The sequence below is a fragment of the Homo sapiens genome, chromosome 5 (genome assembly GCF_000001405.40).
Source record: "Homo sapiens chromosome 5, GRCh38.p14 Primary Assembly".
NCBI classification, from domain to species: Eukaryota; Metazoa; Chordata; class Mammalia; order Primates; family Hominidae; genus Homo; species Homo sapiens.
In genome coordinates this window covers 144,368,340-144,387,089 of record NC_000005.10, presented here as the reverse complement: position 1 = coordinate 144,387,089, position 18,750 = coordinate 144,368,340, and the positions used below count along the sequence as shown (strand labels likewise).

The 18,750-nt window shown below is 37.7% G+C and overlaps 1 protein-coding gene across 4 annotated transcripts in view, besides 2 other annotated features; it reads right to left on the bottom strand.

The window, feature by feature from the left end:
* KCTD16 (potassium channel tetramerization domain containing 16) overlaps positions 1-18,750 on the bottom strand; it is a 314,814-nt gene that overhangs the window by 98,597 nt on the left and 197,467 nt on the right. The window lies entirely within an intron of this gene.
* Positions 3,249-4,448: an enhancer, noted in NCBI's record as "CDK7 strongly-dependent group 2 enhancer chr5:143762205-143763404 (GRCh37/hg19 assembly coordinates)". NCBI's record gives its function as "activates an origin of replication core promoter dependent on BRD2, BRD4, P300/CBP, MED14 and CDK7 cofactors, with strong dependence on CDK7, by STARR-seq in HCT116 cells {active_cell/tissue: HCT116}" and the evidence as "EXISTENCE:reporter gene assay evidence [ECO:0000049][PMID:35650434]".
* Positions 17,979-18,048: an enhancer, noted in NCBI's record as "active region_23357". NCBI's record gives its function as "activates an Ori minimal core promoter by ATAC-STARR-seq in GM12878 lymphoblastoid cells {active_cell/tissue: GM12878}" and the evidence as "EXISTENCE:reporter gene assay evidence [ECO:0000049][PMID:35858748]".

Genomic DNA, 18,750 nt, shown 5'->3' with positions numbered 1-18,750 from the left:
GAAGCTGGGGTGGGAGGATCTCTTGAGCCTGGGAGACTGAGGCTGCAGTGAGCCATGAACCAGCCACTGCACTGTACCCCAACAGAGGAGGATTGTGTCTCAAAAAAAAAAAGTGCTTTGTAATTGGTAAAGGGCTCTACAGATGTAAGCTATTTTAGTTGGGTGAGCCTGGAGTTGTCTTTTACAACAACAATAATACCACTTTAAAGCTTACCAAGTACTCTCATGTGCATTAGCACATTCAGACTGATGGAGCCTGAGTTGTTATTGTTAGTTCTGAGTCTTTGAGGAATGGCTGTTTTTTTTGTTTTGTTTGTTTTTTTGTTTTACCAAATAAACCATCAAAGCACTCTGGAATGTGCCAATTTTCATTCTTTTTTTCTTCACCTACATGCATTAACTAAGCGTCTCTTATAAGCAGTGCATTAAGCTAAGAAATTCAGGGAATATAAAAAGATGGAAATGTGTTCCCTGTCATTGCAGACATACATATTTGTTCACTTAGTAAATATGTATTGAGTATTTACAATGGACTGCACAGTCATGAGCATATACAGAGTCTAAAGTAGGAACTGTACAAATGAAAGAGAGAGAAAGAGAGAACAAATGTGACCATAGTACCACAGTACTATCCACAGTACTACCCATAGAGTGGTCAATAACTACCTAAAAAATATACCAGTCTTAAATGACCAATCATCAGTATTTTGACAATGCCTAGAAATCTCAAGAAACTCCTCTTGCTACTAACTTTATGAAAGTATTTGGGGTTCCCTGGAATTGGTTACTGTGCAACTGGGATGCTTTAGTGATGGAGCTGCCATTCGGAAGGCATGAAGTACACACCCTAGCTACACTCAGTTCACAACAGAGGGCCCTTTCCAATCAACTGAGAGGGCAAGTCAATAGTTATTGAGCTCTGTAGAAAAGAAGAGATTAAAGATTATTTGCCTTGCTCTTAACTTAGTTTTTCTGCCAATCTAATACACGTATCTGTTTTATCATATCCTGTCTTTACACATTTCTGGAAATAATATCTCTGAGTGGCAACAAGCTTACATGAAAAACATAAGAACAATATTTTAAATCCCAAGCAATGATTACTAGATAGCTCAGCCTCACTCTCTACCATGAATATTTTTAATGAAGAGTAGATGGCATGTGAAACTTTTAAAAGGCAATCTTGATGCCTTTTAAAAATAGACGTTAATATTAGGTCCTGTTAGGCCAAAAAGGAAGTGGTAAGGAACCACTTCTTTTTTTAAGGGACCACCCCTCCTCCCCACAAGACACACATACTCTTAAATGATTTGAATGGGACCAACATATCTGTGCAGCATGAGCCCTACTTACAAAGCAGTTTATTGGTCCAGAGGCAGACATATACATTTTTGCAAATTTGGGATTGGAACCAAGAGTTGACTCAGTCTTTCCAGATGGCTGGACAAGTAATACATGAACTTGAAAGCTTATAGTGGCCATATTTTCTATTGTGAGAAGGGGAAGCAAAGAAAATTGTCCTATAGTAATGGAGTGACAATGAAGCAACATCTGGGGGAAAATATTTCATGTGAAAAAGAAATATGGTCCATATTTGGTCCCTTCCACCCACTGTCAATGAAGAAACCACTCAGAAGAAGTAGAAGTGGATGTGAAGGACATGAAAAATAAATCCCCATGGCTTGGCCCCAAGCATGTTACTGAAGACTATTTAAAATTAAATATAAAAATACAAGTAACAAATGCATATGTCATGTTCTTGGTTATATTTTTATTATCAATGATTTGTGGACATTATGCAACAATGCTATCTTCACTGAAGTCATCAGCATCTACGAGTAAACAAAAATATATTTTTCTGAATTTTTGTGCCTTATATTTTATTGAGAGGTTATAGCCTGAATGGAAATTTTCCTTTAGTGACAGCTATAATAGAGGAAAATAGTTTTCGCTCATATATTATTATCTTACAATGAAGTGTGAAGGAAATTATGATTTATGACTTTGCTGATTGTTTATTCCAGCTGCAGACATTATCCCCTTTAGCCAAAATACAGGCCATAATGTCCCACTTATTTGAATGTCAGACTTCCAACAGTGAGTCCAAAAGGGAACGAGCTTCTAAACATCCAAAATAAATATCACAAAATGTATGCACTTCATTACATGAAAGGGGTCATCCTACAGATTATATTGACTCTTCCTTACATGCTATTTTATACTCTTAATTACCTACTTATCCATCCTAAAACTTTAAAGAATAGCCAAGTGACCATCATTAGGAAACAAAAGCTAGAAGCCAGAAATAAGACCCTAAAAATTGTCCAATATTACCACAACAGTTCATTTGTTTTGTAGCATTTGGTCTCTACATTAAAGAAATAATAGTGCAAACATTAATGATGAATACGGAACAATAGAATATTTGTAAAATTTATCTTGAGTCATCAGAAAGAGGTTAAATTATGTTTACTATATTTTGTTTTAAAATGGTAGCAAAATAGGTAATGTACTTTGGAAGATGTAATAAAACAATGTTATAATAAATAAAATTTTATTTCGCTATAATGAAAAAATAAATAAAATTTTATGTTAAAGTTACTTAGAAAAAATGTATTTATTTTGAAAACTTCATTGTAAGGTATTAGTATATTTCAGCAGCAATGCCAACAGTGCTGTCGTTTTGGTCAGATGTCTGATGAAGACAACAGAGAAAGGATTTAAAACACAGAATGACGAAGCTCCTTTCCCACTTCTTCCTTAGCCTCCAGTTCTATCCCCTTACCAGCTTTTCAAAGCTATAAGGGTGCCAAAGAAGTGCCTGGACTTTGTCTATCCATTACAAGGAAATGATGGCAACCCATTTTGCAAAGGTTTGGATACACGTAGAAATGCTCCATCACTTGCTACCTGATCTGCATGAGAGAAGAGCATAAAATATATTAACTCACCATCTTAAATCCTCTCCCATTTCAATGACTCCCACTCATCTTGAAAATTAAGTTCAGCTTTTCCTCAGGAAAAAAACTGCTATTTATTCCATTGCACAAAGACTAATATTTCACTGGGGGAAATCATCTATTTGTAAGTGTTAATTCATAGCTGCCACATTTACTGTTGTGGTTTTTCTGATCAAAAAGATGTCTACAACTCACCATTTTTAATGAATAGATTCTTACGTATTTTTTATAATATTGGTTTTTAACGAAGTGTTTCAAACCCATCAGAAATGCCTGCTAAGCCTCGGCTCAGATGGTCATGAAGGCAAAGGACATAACTGAAACCAAATAAAGGATGAGCAAGATAAGCCTATGGCTGGTCATGATAATGCATTTTAAAATTTCCAATGTATGACTCTCATTCGTCTCTATAATGAAAAACTACCAGCCACCATTTGCTTTGCAAACACTAATCCTAGTACCTCATGGGCTTTTGTAAAAGAAAAAAAAAAATCTCCTGAAAAAATATTGCAGTTTTAGGAAAGCAATGTTTTCAGCTGCTGTAATCATTCTAATTACTTTAGAATGTTTCTTTTTTTTTTTTTCCTTCACCCTCTAGGGCCTTTTTGCCTTCAAATCAGCTACAGAAACAAAGCAATTTAGCACAGTAAAAAGCTTATTAACATATGATGCAGTTCAGTGGCATGAGAAAAGACTAGGGAGAAAACAAGAGATCCATCCCGTGAAAAAGGTAGATCTGAATATTTCAAATCAAAAAAGCTGAGCCAGGGAGTGAATAACTCAACAAAATGTGAAAAGAAAGGTCAAAATGGCAGCTCTGACGCAGAGAAATGTCAGCTCTACAGGATGAAAGATGACAGTTTAATTCCTCAACTTGCCCAGTAAGTACAGTTTACAGCTAAGGTGGGCAATTTTCTAAATCGTCATTTATCATTTAAGAGAGTCCCTAGGTCCCCTTCAACTATGCGTCTTCTGCTCTTTTCAAACTTACCTGTGAGGTACCAGGGAAGGTGAAATGGCCCCATTTATCTGCAGACAGTGAATTTGCAGGTTTCTGCTTCTCTGCAGAGGTAACAGTAAGGAAAGAAATGAGTAGAAGTTAAGTGCCAAAACTATTTTGCCAGAGCAGATTAGGAAAACCAACGTGAAGCTCCCTACCAGAGGATTGTGGGTGCTTTGAATAGAAAGGAAACAATATTTGGAATAGCATGTGAAAAATGCACAAGTTGGGCAAAGCAATATGAGAATTTAGTGGTGACATTACTGCCATGGTCTTGTTTTCTTGATCCAGGAAGAATGAATAACTCAATGCACCTCCAAATAAGAGCTTAAGTAAATGCTGAAGTAAAAGAGATGAACATCCAGAACCTCGCAGTGGATCCAGAGATGCTTTAAATAAAAACTTCACCTCCTCAAGGACAAATGGTCATTCATTCACTACTTGGCTATTGAGCATCTACTACATGTCAGGCATGGTGCTGGTGGCTAGGTATGTGGATATGAATAAAACAAATTTCCAGTTTTCTTGTAGTTTATCATATAATATGGGAGAAAGGTGATGTTTCTATTCCATATTCATTCATTCAATACTGAGTATGGAACAACTAACTATAGTGAGCTCAATAAGAGGATCCTAAGTATGGTGTCAGAGGCGAGGGGCATAGAATCCAGGGAGCCTTCCTGGAGGTGCTGATGTCTGAGCTTATTTCTTTTTATTCTTATATTTTAAAATCTTTTTTCAAGTTTTATTTTAGGTTCAGGGGTGCATGTGCAGGTTTATTACCTGAGTAAATTGCGTATTGCTGGGGTTTTGTGTACAAATGATTTAGTCACCCAGGAAGTGACTAAAGAGTACCTTCACCCTCTTCCCACATGCTCATCCTTCAAGTAAGAACCTATGTCTATTATTCCGATCTTTGGTTCCATGTGTACTCAGTGTTTAACTCCCACGTATAAGTGAGAATATGTAGTATTTGATTTTCTGTTCCTGTATTAATTTACTTAGCATAATGGCCTCAGCTACATCCATGTTGCTGCAAAAGGCATGATTTCAATTTTTAGGGCTGCATAGTATTCCATCATATGTATGTATGTATGTATGTATGTATGTATATAAACATCTTCTTTCATCCAGTCCACTGTTGATGGGAACCTAGGTTGATTCCATATCTTTGCTATTGTAAATAGTGCTGCAATGAACATATGGGTGCATGTGGCTTCTTAGAAGAATTATTTATATTCCTTTAGGTATGTACCCAATAATGGAATTGCTGGGTCAAATGGTAGTTATCTTTTAGATTCTTTGATAAATCTCCAAACTTCTTGAGATGGTTTGAACATATGTCCTTACCCAAATCTCATGTTGAATTGTCATTTCCAATGCTGGAGGTGGGGACTGGTGAGAGGTGTTTGAATCATGGGGATGGATCTCTTATGAATGGCTTGGGCCATCCCATTGGTGATAAGTGAGCTCCTGCTCTGAGTTCACACGAGATCTGGTGGTTCAAAAGTGTGTGGCACCTCCCCCCTCCACTCTTTCTCACTTGCTTCTGCTTTTGCCATGTGACATGCCTACTCCCCCTTTGCCTTCCATCATGATTGTAAACTTCCTGAGGCCTCCCTAGAAGCCAAGCAGATGCCAGCCCTATGCTTCCAAGCCTGCAGAGCCTTGAGCCAAAAACCTCTTTTCTTTAAATATTGCCCAGTCTCAGGTATTTCCTTATAGCAATGCAAGAACAGCCTAATACACTGCTTTCTGCAGTGGCTGAACTAATTTACATTCCCACCAGCAGTGTATAAATGTTCTCTTTTCTCCACAACCTTGCCAATATCTGTTATTTTTTGACTTTTTAATAATAGTCATTCTGAGTGGTGTGAGACGGTATCTCATTGTGGTTTTGATTTGCATTTCTCTGATGGTTACTGATGTTGAACTTTTTTTTCATATGCTTGTATGTCTTCTTTTGAAAAGTGTCTGTTCGTGTCCTTTGCTCATTTTTTAATGGGGTTGCTTGTTTTTTCCTTGTTAATTTGTTTAAGTTTCTTATAGATTCAGGATATTAGACCTTTATCAGATGCATAGTTTGCAAATGTCTTATCCCATTCTATAGGTTGTCTGTTTACTCTGTTGATAGTTTCTTTTGCTGTGCAGAAACTCTGGGGTCTCACTTGTCTATTTTTGTTTCTGTTACAATTGTTTGTGGAGACTTTGTCATGAAATCTTTGCCAAGGCCTATGTCTAGAATGGTATTTCCTAAGTTTTCTTCTGGGGTTTTTGTAGTTTTAGGTTTTCATTTAAGTCTTTAATCCATTTTGAGTTGATTTTTATATGGTGCAAGGAAGTAGTCCAGTTTCGATCTTCTGCATATGGCTAGTCAGTTATCCCAGCATCATTTATTGAATAGGGAGTCTTTCCCCCATTGCTTGTTGTTGTTGACTTTGTTGAAGATCATATAGTTGTTCTGTAACCTGTTCCATTGATCTATGTGTCTGGTTTTGTACCAGTACCATGCTGTTTTGGTAACTGGAGCCTCATAATGTAGTTTGAAGTTGAGTAGTGTGATGCATCTGGCTTTGTTCTTTTTACTTAGAATTGCTATGGCTAGTTAGGCTCCTTTTCAGTTCCAAGTGAATTTCAAAATAGTCTTCTCTAATTCTGTAAAAAATGGCATTCATAGTTTGATATAAATAGCATTGAATCTGTAAATTACTTTGAGCAGTGTAGCCATTTTAAAAATATTGATTCTTCTTATCCATGAGCATGGAATGTTTTTCCATTTGTTTGTGCTGTCTCTGGTTTTTTTCAGTGGTGTTTTGTAACTCTCATTGTAAATATCATTTACCTCCTTGGTAAGCTGTATTCCTAGGTATTTTATTCTTTTTGTGGCTGTTGTGAATGGGATTGTACTCTTGATTTTACTCTCAGCTTGGACATTATTGGTGTAAAGAAATGTAACTGATTTTTGTATATTTATTTTGTAGCCTGAAACTTTACCAAAGTTATTTATCATTTATAGGACCCTTTGGTCAGAGACTATGGGGTTTTCTAGGTATAGAACCATAAGTGTAGAATATTTTTTAGGTATAGAATCTCGGCAGAGGAAACCACACTTGCAACTGCATATATGTATAAAACCAGCATACTGCCGTCTATACCAGAGTATGTATGTAAGGAAAATGAAAAAAATTAAAAATATAGACTACATTTACAATACAATACATGTAAGTGTTGGAAATACATGGATGTTTGGTTTATTCTTTTATTTACATTTTGCTTTATTTGAATATAACTTTTATAAATATGTTTCTCAAGTCAGTGATAAATATTTGAAACAATAACTACTGACTCAGCCTAGCTAAAATTCTCAACATCAAATGCCAACTAAAAAGAAAAAGGCATGGATGATCTTATTTGGTGTGTTTGCAAAGGCCATCTTTGTGAAACTTTAATTTAAAAGAAAGAGTGAATAATTATATATTTTCTGTCATACCCATACAAAGAAACCTGTCTGAAAACTTGTTGAAGATGTTACCTTTGAAAATAAAATAACAACCATATTTAGGACTGGAACATGCCCCCAAGCTCCCAAATGAACTCCTTGTCTTTAATCTATTATAATGATATTCTTAAAGATATCCTCCAAAAGTAACTCCCAAACCCTCCATCAGTAATGCACTCTGTTCTCTCACAGTCCCTATAGTCACAAAGCTTATTTATAGGACACCTAAATTCATCTTATTACAATTCTAAACCCATTTCAAGTAAGCCCCTCTTCTTCTAGTACGTGAAATATCTATTTACTAATCCTCCAATCTTTATCCAAAGTCTAACCCAATGTGTAAACACAGCCTAAATATGAAAAGAGACTCCCTCTCATATCTTTCTTGTCATCCATGGGAACATGTGGGGAGTTAGGCCAAAGAGCAGGCATAAAAATGGGAAAACCTTATGGGCAGGAGAGAAGGAAGACATGGGTAGTCGTAAAAGGCATATACCTGCCTCAAACATTTCATAATAAAAAGAATCTACTTTTGAGCACAAAATATGCTGAAAGCAGAAAGTTCATCTGACAATTGCCAAACGTCAGTATTCCAGGATGCATCCCTTTCTCCATGAGTTGTAAATGAATATTCACTCTGAAGCCAAGGCATCTAAGAGAAAGGCCACAATTAATATCGCCAAATCCCATTTCACGGATGCTTGCATTTTCTCCTATGACGAATGTTAGCATAAGATTAATGCATTGTAAAAAGTCATTTAATACAAAACAACCATCTGTCTATATGCAGTGAAGCAGAGAGAAGAGGCCAAATAACACGTTGGTTCAGCTCAATCCATGCCTGGTACATTAGCTGTTTACTTGAATAATTGAAAAACACAAGTCTATTCTGTTGCCTTGACTAGGGCTAATCTAATGAAGTTAACCTGCCATTGATGACACATGTGAGATGATTTTAATGCACTTTAAACATCTTATTTAAATTACACAAGAATATAACAAAGGCATAGAAATGACATACTTAATAAAGTTGGATTCCAAAACTGTTCAAAAAAGAAGTAGCCCTGCATATTGGCCTTAACATATTGCACACATCTGAAACTAAGTAATTATTTCCAGAATTTTATTATAGAAATGAAAACCACTCTTCAACTAGCTAGATACGACATTTCAGTAGAGTAAGAGAATATGATCTAGCATCTTTAGAAGAAATAAAAAATAGTATTGATTCAAATCCTGTAAACTACTTATCAATGACCTGACAAAGCAAGAAACTACATTTGGTATATTATCTGGCAATATACACCACCTTATTCATATACATATTAGTCTAATTTCATCTCTGTGTCTGGAATTTCATAGCTGTAAGTTCTTCTATTACTTTTCACTACAGATTTTTCCTGCAATTCTAAATATACCTTCCTACCCCAACCTCCAGGCTAGTAGTCTTCCTTTCCCTGGGGAAAAAGAGGGAGAGCACAGAAGGAGGGAAGGCTGTGTTCTTTGAAATTCAGGAAAACCTCCTTAAAATCCCAAACCATGCATGGAAATCTGAATATCTGCTAAGTGTTTAAGTTCCTTTGTTTTCTTATAATTAACGTCCCCTTCTGACCAATTTCAAGTTATGATATCTATGTATATGAAAGGACAAGGACACACACAACACATACATTCATGCTTTCCCTTACTTGGAATGGAAGGAAGTTACAGGAAAACAAAGTATATAAGATTGAAAAAGAGATGCAACAGATAATTACCTACCTAATTGCACAAAATCATGGCATTGTGGAAAGGGAGGTTTACCAGATGTGGAGGGATGGAGAGTTTGATTATCACTGCTCTCTTTTCCATGTCCCTAGTCACTCCTGGGTCTGAGAACTTAGTGAACCTGAAATGACACATTTAGCACAACAGCCTGCAGAAGACTTGTCAGCAGGATGTCATTCTTGGCTGATGGATTTTTAAATAATCTTCTCAGAAGCTTAAATTTAGGGAGGGCTTCTCTTCTCCCCTCTTCAACCCAGAGTTTTAAATGTATGTAGCAGATTGGGTAAGTTTGGAGAAGAGAGGGTTAAACAAAGGGTCATAAACTGCTGGTCTGTGGACTGACTCTGGCCCCAGAGAGGCATTTTCTTTAATTGTATAATGTAATAAAATTAATAAGTGTCACATGCAGTTCCTAATTTGTGTGTTCTGTTGAATATCAGATCTGGCTACTCTAGCCAACTTTCATGTCTGGCAGCAATTAGCTAGAGCTGAGTCTCAGCTGCCCTTGAGCCAGGATATAAATTTACCAGTTTGCCACTGTCCACTCCATTCCTTATAGCCTGATATCCAGCCACTTGACTCATGTATGCTGTATCCAGGACCTCTATTAATATGTATTTGAAAATGTTATAGTTAAGATGATCAAGGAACCCCAAGAGAAAGTAAAAAGAGAGACAGTCCAATAGGGGATGTTTCTCCTTGAACAGAGAAGGGCTCCATGAAGGATGGCCAGCATTGGAGAGCTATAATTGCAGACCTGTTGGAGGAAATGGGGTAGGAAATGAGTTTGATAAAATAGAGAAACAATCCCTAAAACACCACCTCCTCATCCAGTGTTATCCCAAGTCTGAATGCGTAGATATGTACACCCAAGCCTGCAATAAGGAATAGTCCGCTGGGTTTCTTCTGTAATCTTGAATGGCCAACAGAAAGACTGCTCAATTATGAATGGCACAAGGGGTGTGGCACTGCAGTCATGCCAGAGCATTCACCAGTTCTCATCTTTACAGTGTTAGTGATCGCAGCCAATGAGATTGATTCCCAGTTTATAACTTTCAATATCCTACCATCCTTAAAACATGACAAAGCCCTTTAATCAGTTTCCATTAGAAAGCCAAACAGTCCAAGAATATTGTTGGATCCTTTTTTCTAACTGGAAATCTAGGACTCACAGGAAGGATTCATATCCTACTATATATTGCATTTCACTTGGAAAAATATGACATATGACGCTTCTCTCAAGAATCTCTGGCTGCTCTGTAAATCAGTCTTTAATTTTTCTCACCCCGTCCTTTCCCTTATTTGAACCAAAATTCTCTCCTCCATCATCAAATTATTTTATGACACAGAGTAGCCTCCAATTTTTGTGTGAAACCTGGGTCCAGACTCATACCTGGAATCCAGAAACTCATTTCTCTCCAGTGGAGGTCTTATCAAATCATTTTCTCAGCAAAGTCTATCTCTCTCTACAAAGGAATTATTAGACCAACTACCGAGATTGTAACATTTTGTCCATATTATTACACATTATTCAGTATATTTCTTTTTGATAAAGACTATACCTTTCATAAATAAAGTATACAATGAATACCCTTGGACATATATCTATAATGAGTTAATTATCAACCAGCAGGAAACTAAATCATAAACGAAAAGAAAAGTATTGAGACCCAGATATCACAACAGAAGGAAAAAGGATGTATAATAAGAAAATGGAAAAAAAGGTAGACATGACTCTGAATGAGGAAGATTTTATTAAGAAAAAAAAGTTTGCACTTTGGGAGGTCGAGGCGGACCAATCACTTGAGCTCAGGAGTTCAAGACCAGCCTAGCCAACATGGTGAAACCCCGTCTCTACTAAAAGTACAAAAAATCAGCCAGATTTAGCGGCTCGTGCCTGTAATTCAAGCTAGGAATTCTCCTGCCTCAGGAGGCTGAGGCAGGAGAATCACTTGAACCCAGGAGGCGGAGGTTGCAGTGAGCTGAGATCACACCACTGCACTCCAGCCTGGGCAACAGAGCGAGACAAAAAAGAAAGGAAGGAAGGAAGGAAGGGAGGCAGGGAAGGAAGGGAAGGAGTTTGATGTGACGGTCCTAGAATATTGGTCCTAGGAAGCACATCTTGGTTTCTCACCTCTCCATTTTCAAATGGGAACACCAAGGCAAAGCCCTCTGGAACAAAAAGACACATAAATATAGTTGCTGAAATGAGAAAGAATTTTCTCTCATACAACAGCAGGGGCAGTTCTACTCCATGAACCTTTCAAGTACTCAGGTTCCACCCATCTGGTATTTCCAGCATCACCTGGAATACTGTCCTCTTCTGCAGGGTCAATATGGCATTATCATACCCATGTCCCAGATCACAGGAGGGGAGAAACACAGGAATTCCAGGTCAAGCATCTTCCTTTCAGGGACATGACTTTTTCTCATGTTTTTATATTTCATAGATGAGAACTAGATCACATATTCACACTTATCTGCAGAGATATGTATGATTATAGGCTCCAGTTGTTCAACTGAAATTCTATTATAATAGAAAAAAGGAAATATATTTTGGGAGAGACTACTAGCAGATTGGTGTAGACATCAAGAAGGTAAGACACTTGCCAGAGAGCATGAGCTATTCCAACCAGTTTGCTAGTAAAAGGTTATGGTAGTATCTCTTCATAATATGTCTCTTCTCAAAGAGCTGAGCACAGAAGACCATGTCCTGGAAAGCAATAAACCTTGAGATTCAGAATGAAGGCCTTCCCTATGCAGACCATGGCTCGTTCACCTGTATGTGGTCAATCCCTTTGCCAAGAATTAACTAGCATTAGAGTTAGCCACACAACTGACCTAAGAGATGTTGCAATAAATGCATAATTGCTGGGGAACAATGTAAAAGGCAGTGTGGACCGGGAGACAACAGCAGTCCCAAAGTGAAAATCCCTGGGAAGGAGAAGTCATATGCTACTTTTTGCTGAGTAGAAGCTAAGAAAATGGAACTGAAACAAACCTGTAGTTCTAAACTTCAGTGAAAAACACAGCAGAGAAAAGATGTTGTGGTAATGAGAGCTACAGGCATATCATGCATGTTAGCTTAGTAGTACTTTATCAGGAAAAAAAAAAGTAGCCATTTTCATTTCTTAGGAGTATGCAAAAGGCCACAAGATTGGCCACAGAGTATTGAAAGAAATAAAAGTCAAAGAGGTTATTGTCCAGTACTGCTCTGCTTTCCTTTCTACTAGGGACAGGAAAACACTACCTCTATTAGTAATCATGACAAACTAAAAGTTTGAGTGAGATCTCACTCTATCAAAAAAGTTAGCTTTCTAAAGAAACCTGAATTCTTTCACCTGCTACCTCCCATTTAGCCTGCATCACAACATTTAGCAGATGATACTATGTCACCTCGTGAATCTTTCTGTCATTTCAAATATAAACCTTGCTATCCAACCTCACTGTCGCCTTCCCCTAGTAATGCTAGATCTAAATGTCTTCAGAGACCGAGGTTATCATCTCTACTTCATCCCAGAGTACCTAGAAGAATGCATCAAACATCATTCCTTGTCATCTCTTTCAAAGCAATAGGATGGTACAGGTTCCAGTTTAGATGGTGCTTCTAATATTAATCTTTTTTACTGAAAATTTGGCATTTTATTTTTGAAATATTTGTCAGGTGATAGGCCGAATAATGGCCCCCACAAAGACGTCCAAATTCTAACACAGAAAACCTGTGAATATGTTGCCTTACATAGCAAAAGAGGCACTGCAAACAAAGTAAGGACTTGAAATGGGATATTCTCCTGGATTATCCAGATGGGCTGTCAATATAATCATAATGGTCTGTACATAGAGGCAAGAGGTTCATATAAGGGAGAACTTGATGTGGTGACTGAAACAGAAACTGCAGTGATGCAGCTAGGAGCCAAAGATCTTCAGAACTGTACGATAATACATTTGTGCTGTTTTAAGCCATGACGCCTGTGGCTCATTTGCTACAGAAGCCATAGGAAATGAAAACATATATTCTTCCAATTAGCAATGTAATCACATGGGCTAACTAACCTCATCTTACCAATTATTAAATATCAATCAAACAGGAAGATGTGATTTGCCATTTGTAAATGCCTATGCCAGTAACTTCACATCTGGAATATTTTTCCTGATGATATTTATACAAGATTTCTCTCATCTATTAAAAAGAATGACAAAGATCTATAAACAGACCTATATGCTGAGCTGTAGATGACATATCACGTAAAAAATAATGAGCAGCAGAAGACACTCAGGAACTAGGTGTGCATCACAAGTGGCTTGGAAGGATATAGACCAAAAACACAAGTGTAGTTATCTCTAGATAGTGGGATTACAGGATGGCCTTCATTTTCTCCAATACTGGATTAGTCTTTTATTCTTTTTATAATGAACATATACTATTTTCACAAGCTGAAAATTGATGGAAAATTTTTTGGACAAAATAAAGATTTTATTTCTGCACAGAGAGTTAATTTAATTAACTTAGGATCACTGTACTTGACACCCATGTCTTGCTTACCACCCCTCATAGCAGGGTCCTTCATTTGCATCATATCACTATCAAAATCACAACCAGTCTATTTCATGGGAGAAAGTAGGGCAAGATCAAGAGTCAGGAGACCATGAAATTTAACATATGAGCCTCCATCCTCTCTTTAAAGCCAGTCCTGCTTCCTGTCTGTCAAATATTTCGGTTGGTGGCACCACCATCTACCCAGCTGCCTAAGCCAGGATTTCAGAGTTGTTTTTAACTCTTGACATCCCACATTCCATCATTCACACCAAATTCTCCCATTCTGTCTTCAATTTTTCTTAAATCTGTCCCTTGTCCTCTGTTCCCATTATTAGTAAGTTTAGACTACCCCAGATTATTATAACCCTTCTAACTGGGTTCATTGGCTCTATACTATATTTGCCCAACTCCTCTCTTCAGTGGCAAAAAAATGAAATAAAGCTGTCACCCTTCTACTCTTACAGCTCTTCACAGGCTCCTGATTCTGGGCTAACAGCCCTCCAAAGGGCCTGCCATGGTATTTCATTATCTGGCATTTCCATATTTCTGTCTTGTTTTTCTTACTACTCCCTGGCCAGGCCTCATACATTCAACTGTTATAATCACACAGACCTTGCCTCCCATCACCAAGCCTTTAGACATACAGTTTCTCTGCCTGGCATGTCCACCTTGTCCAGTCAGTACCTCTTCACCCTTCAGGATTTGGCACAGGTGAGGAGTTGCCTCCTCTGTAAAGACTTGGCTGAATCAGGCTTCTTCCCTAAACTCTCATGGAACCTTGTAACATATCATGGTATAGCTGTGAACAAAAACATCCACCATTATATTATGATTACCAGCTTATGGAATTGGCAGTCCCACCCTTATCCAAATGATGAGCCTCTAAAGAAAACACTATCTTCCGTGTATGTTTGCATCCTCCTTCGTACAGTGACTGGCATAAATAGGCAATTAATAAGTTGTTGCTAAATGAATTAACAAATAAATGAATGAATAGCCAACTTTTATTGGAAGCTTACTCTGAAACCACCATAGGGTATACATTTTCTAACTGAATCCTTACAAAACTTTTATAAGATGGGTACCACTGTTATTCACATTTGTAGACAAAAAAAAAAAAAGAAGCACAGAGGGGTTACACAAATTTTCCAAATTCACTTATTTAGAAATTGCATATAAACTGAAACAGTCTAACTCCAGGATTTTAATCTCAACACTGCAGCAATTGAATGAATGAGCAACCTCCCGACCCTTCCTGTTTGTGTCCAACATGTAAGACTGGCCTAATCCTTAACCTGTCAAGCAGATAGACATGTCCAATCCCCTATTCTTTATTCCTTCTTGCTTTGATAACAGAGTAAAAAAATTGAGAAGGGGTGTGGTTAAACAGAGCATAAGGTTGAGAACCCACTGACAGCTAGAGGGAGAAGAGGCAAGAGAAGGCTACAGGTTATTAAGTAGAATGTTAATTATTCATTAATAGTAAGTTGCAGCTCTTACCCAGCAGCTATCCCATAAATGGCATAACAGGAGAAAGGAACAGAAGTGTTTTTGATCAAGTATTTCTTAGATCTAAATTAAAAAGACAGCATCCAAGATGAATTTCAAGCCCTCACCACAGTGTTAATTTTCTTAGAGTTTTTCCATGAACATCAGTGCCACAGAACCTAACCTAAAGATAATGTCTTCAATTGCAATGGCATTCATTAATCATTTCTACTTAGTGATATACAGAATCAGCTGCTTCTTGTCGTTGTGCATGGTGTCCAGGAACGTGGAACATTTTGAAGTCCTCCCTGGTGGGAATGTGTGAGAAACAGATAACACATACTCATCTTACAAGAGAGACACAGAAGCTCTGAGAGGTTGTCATTTGGGCAAAGTTTCACGGTAAGTTAATGTTTGGCTCTCAAATCCCAAAACAGTCTTGAATGACCTGCCTCTCCATCATGGTAGAAATGACCAAACAGGGACAATTTCCTTTATGATAGACCGTTAAAATCATTATTTCCCAAATTATACTTGAAAAAAGTGCATTTCCAGAAAGATCTCAAAAACCTAAAATGAAAGTACAATATATAAAGAATTTAGATAAAGGGAAGAATAGATATAAGGTTAGTACGCCCATCTTTGTTGAAGCAGAGTGAGGCAGGAATTCTGGATTTCAGGTGGCAAAAACCACCCAAACTTAGATCTTAGACTTTAAAGGGAGAACTTAGAAGTTCATGTCACCAAACGAAAGGGAGAGGTGTGGGAGTAGCCAGAACCAGAGACTTAACTCCAACAGAATTATCTCCATCTTTGTTTCTGAGATGATGGCATCCATGAGGAAATGGACTGGTCTCATTTTTATTATAGGTTGGTGCAAAAGTAATGTGGTTTTTGCCATTACTTTAATGGTAAAAACGGCAATAACTTTTGCACCAACCTAATATTAGGACTGTGATTGATGGTTAATGGAGTAATGGAATCCCCTATAGCTTTTAAGCAACTCTGTATTTTCTTGAAAAGATATTTGTTTCTGAAATACAATGGAAGTGACTCCAGCAAGCAAGGGAGTGGTTACAGGTCATTAGCCAGCTCACCCAGATCCTTATTGCTGCATAAAAGCAATTTATATTCCCACAAATAAAAATCTTTGCAACACCTTTTCCCTAAATATATGCCTAAAGATTAGTAGCAGATTCTTTCCTTTATAAACAACTGCTATGTGCCTTGGCATTAGTTATCTGTGAGACCTTGGAAAAATCATTTAACTTTTCCATGCTCCAAGATTCTCATCTGTAAAATGATGAAGTTGATCCGGTCCCTTCTGGCACCAACATTGTGTAAAGAGTATTGTTCTTTCAGGTGGAGCCAAAGTAAATTCTGCCATCAAAAAATAAATAAAGGAATCTCTCAGTGCACAGTCTGCTTTCAGGCAAAGCTATTTTGGAAACCATAGTCACTCTTTTAGGCCAACAGAAATCACACTCATTTATCCTTCAGTCTAGGTAGAACTAGGAAAAACTTTGAAGGCATTCACGCTTGATCCAAATGATCGCAAGTTTCTCTGTCAGGAGCTTTTTATACTTTCTACCCCTTCTACCCCCTCCTTAGCTGCCACGACATTCACAGCTACTGGTACTCATTTTATTCCTCAGGGGATCAGGATCCTCTCTCTACTCTTATTCTAATGTCCTCTTTGGAAACGATCTGATGAACTGAGAAGTCACATTAAAGCAGAGATTCCCAGATTCCCAGCACCCACAAACTGCCTTCATATTCTCTCCCTATCTTTGTACCCCCATATGTTACTATTATGTACTTAGTGTTAAGTATTTTAATATTAACATTAAGTAGATCATTATCTACTTACTATTTTCTTTTTCATTGACACATTATTTTTACCTCCTACCAACTTTAGCCTCATTAGAAATCATGCACTTAATATACTACATATGTTTTCTTATAAGTCCTATTAAAAATACATAACTATTAAAATTATATGTTCACCCATGAATCACTTAAAATCATCTCACATACACTTCCTTCAATGGTACTCATTTTACACCTGGGAAATGCTGTATTAAAGCATGAATCACAAATTCTCCTTACTAAGGAGATTAGATTTAGATTGAATGAAAATCCCTAACATCTTTTAAACTACTTGCTATTTCCTTATAACAATGTGTATTTCAGAGGTGTCAAGAGATCAATGATGAAGGTAAAAAAACAAATTTTTATAGGACATTAGTCTTAAAGAATGGAAAGATTCCTTAATTGTGACTCAATCCATTCTGGAGTCAGGGAGCTGTCTCCATGCCCCTTAAATAATCATATAGTAATAGGGATGTAATAATAACAAGAATGACCACTGCATATTACGTGTTGACTACAGGTTGGGGTTCAGAGAGCCGCCCTACTTCATCTTATTTGTATTCCTGCCTCCACCGCTGGCTGCCATCTCATACGGAGGACCTGGGAGACCTTTTCCATGCCTGTGCTATTTCATCTCTAAAAACAAACAGTAGAGGGTGAATAGCCAAACCAGGCTACATGCACCATGTCTCTCAGGCTTCAGCACAAAACCCCATTTCATGCTTCAGAGCCTTGACTGTGACACAGAGCTCAGGTTGCCAAGGGAATGGGAGCCAGGCTGTGACGGGCTGACTGAGGCTAAATCGGTCCTATGGGGCAGTGCAGCCACTTTCTGCAGGTGCAGAGCTGCTGTCTGGCTCCTTTTCTCTCTCACACAAAGCAAGCAGAAAGGAGATAAGATGAATTATATACCTGGCATAATGGTTCATGAGACTCACCAGGATGATGAGGCAGTCCTCATTTTCAGTTGGCCAAAATTTGACACCTTATTTGGTAAACAACATTGGTTTGAGCCTCTTACAGATAAATCTGGGTTCGAGTTCTGGATTTGCCAATTACTAAACTCTATTATTTTGAACGAATTAGCGTATCTGAGCCTTGATTTCCTCCTTTCTAACTGATACAGACCTCCGTACTTCCTAAGGCCTCTTGATGATTACAGTGGAATGACTGTAAAGGACTTGGCACTATGCCTAGGACAGTGTATTAGTTTCCTATCCCTGCAGTAACTAATCACCAGAAACTCACTGACTTAAAACAACACCCAGTTATTAGCTCCTAGTTTGCATGGGTCAGAACTCCAGGTCCAGTGTAGCTTAGCTGGGTTCTCTACTCTGAGTCTCAGAAGGTCAAAATGAAGGTGTTGTCTGGGCTGGGCTTTTTTATCTAAAGGTTTTGGGAGACAACTTGATTCCAAGTTCATTTAGATAATTAGCAGAATTCTACTTCTTGTGGCTACTGGTCTGAGTTTCCTGTTTCCTTGCTGGCTGTCAATCAAGGGCCACAATCTGCTCCTAAATACCACCCACATTCCTTTTCCCATGTCTCTCTCCATCCTGAAACCAGCAATGTTGCGCTGAGTCCTTCTCACCCTTCATATTTTTCTGACTCCCACCTCTCTGACTTT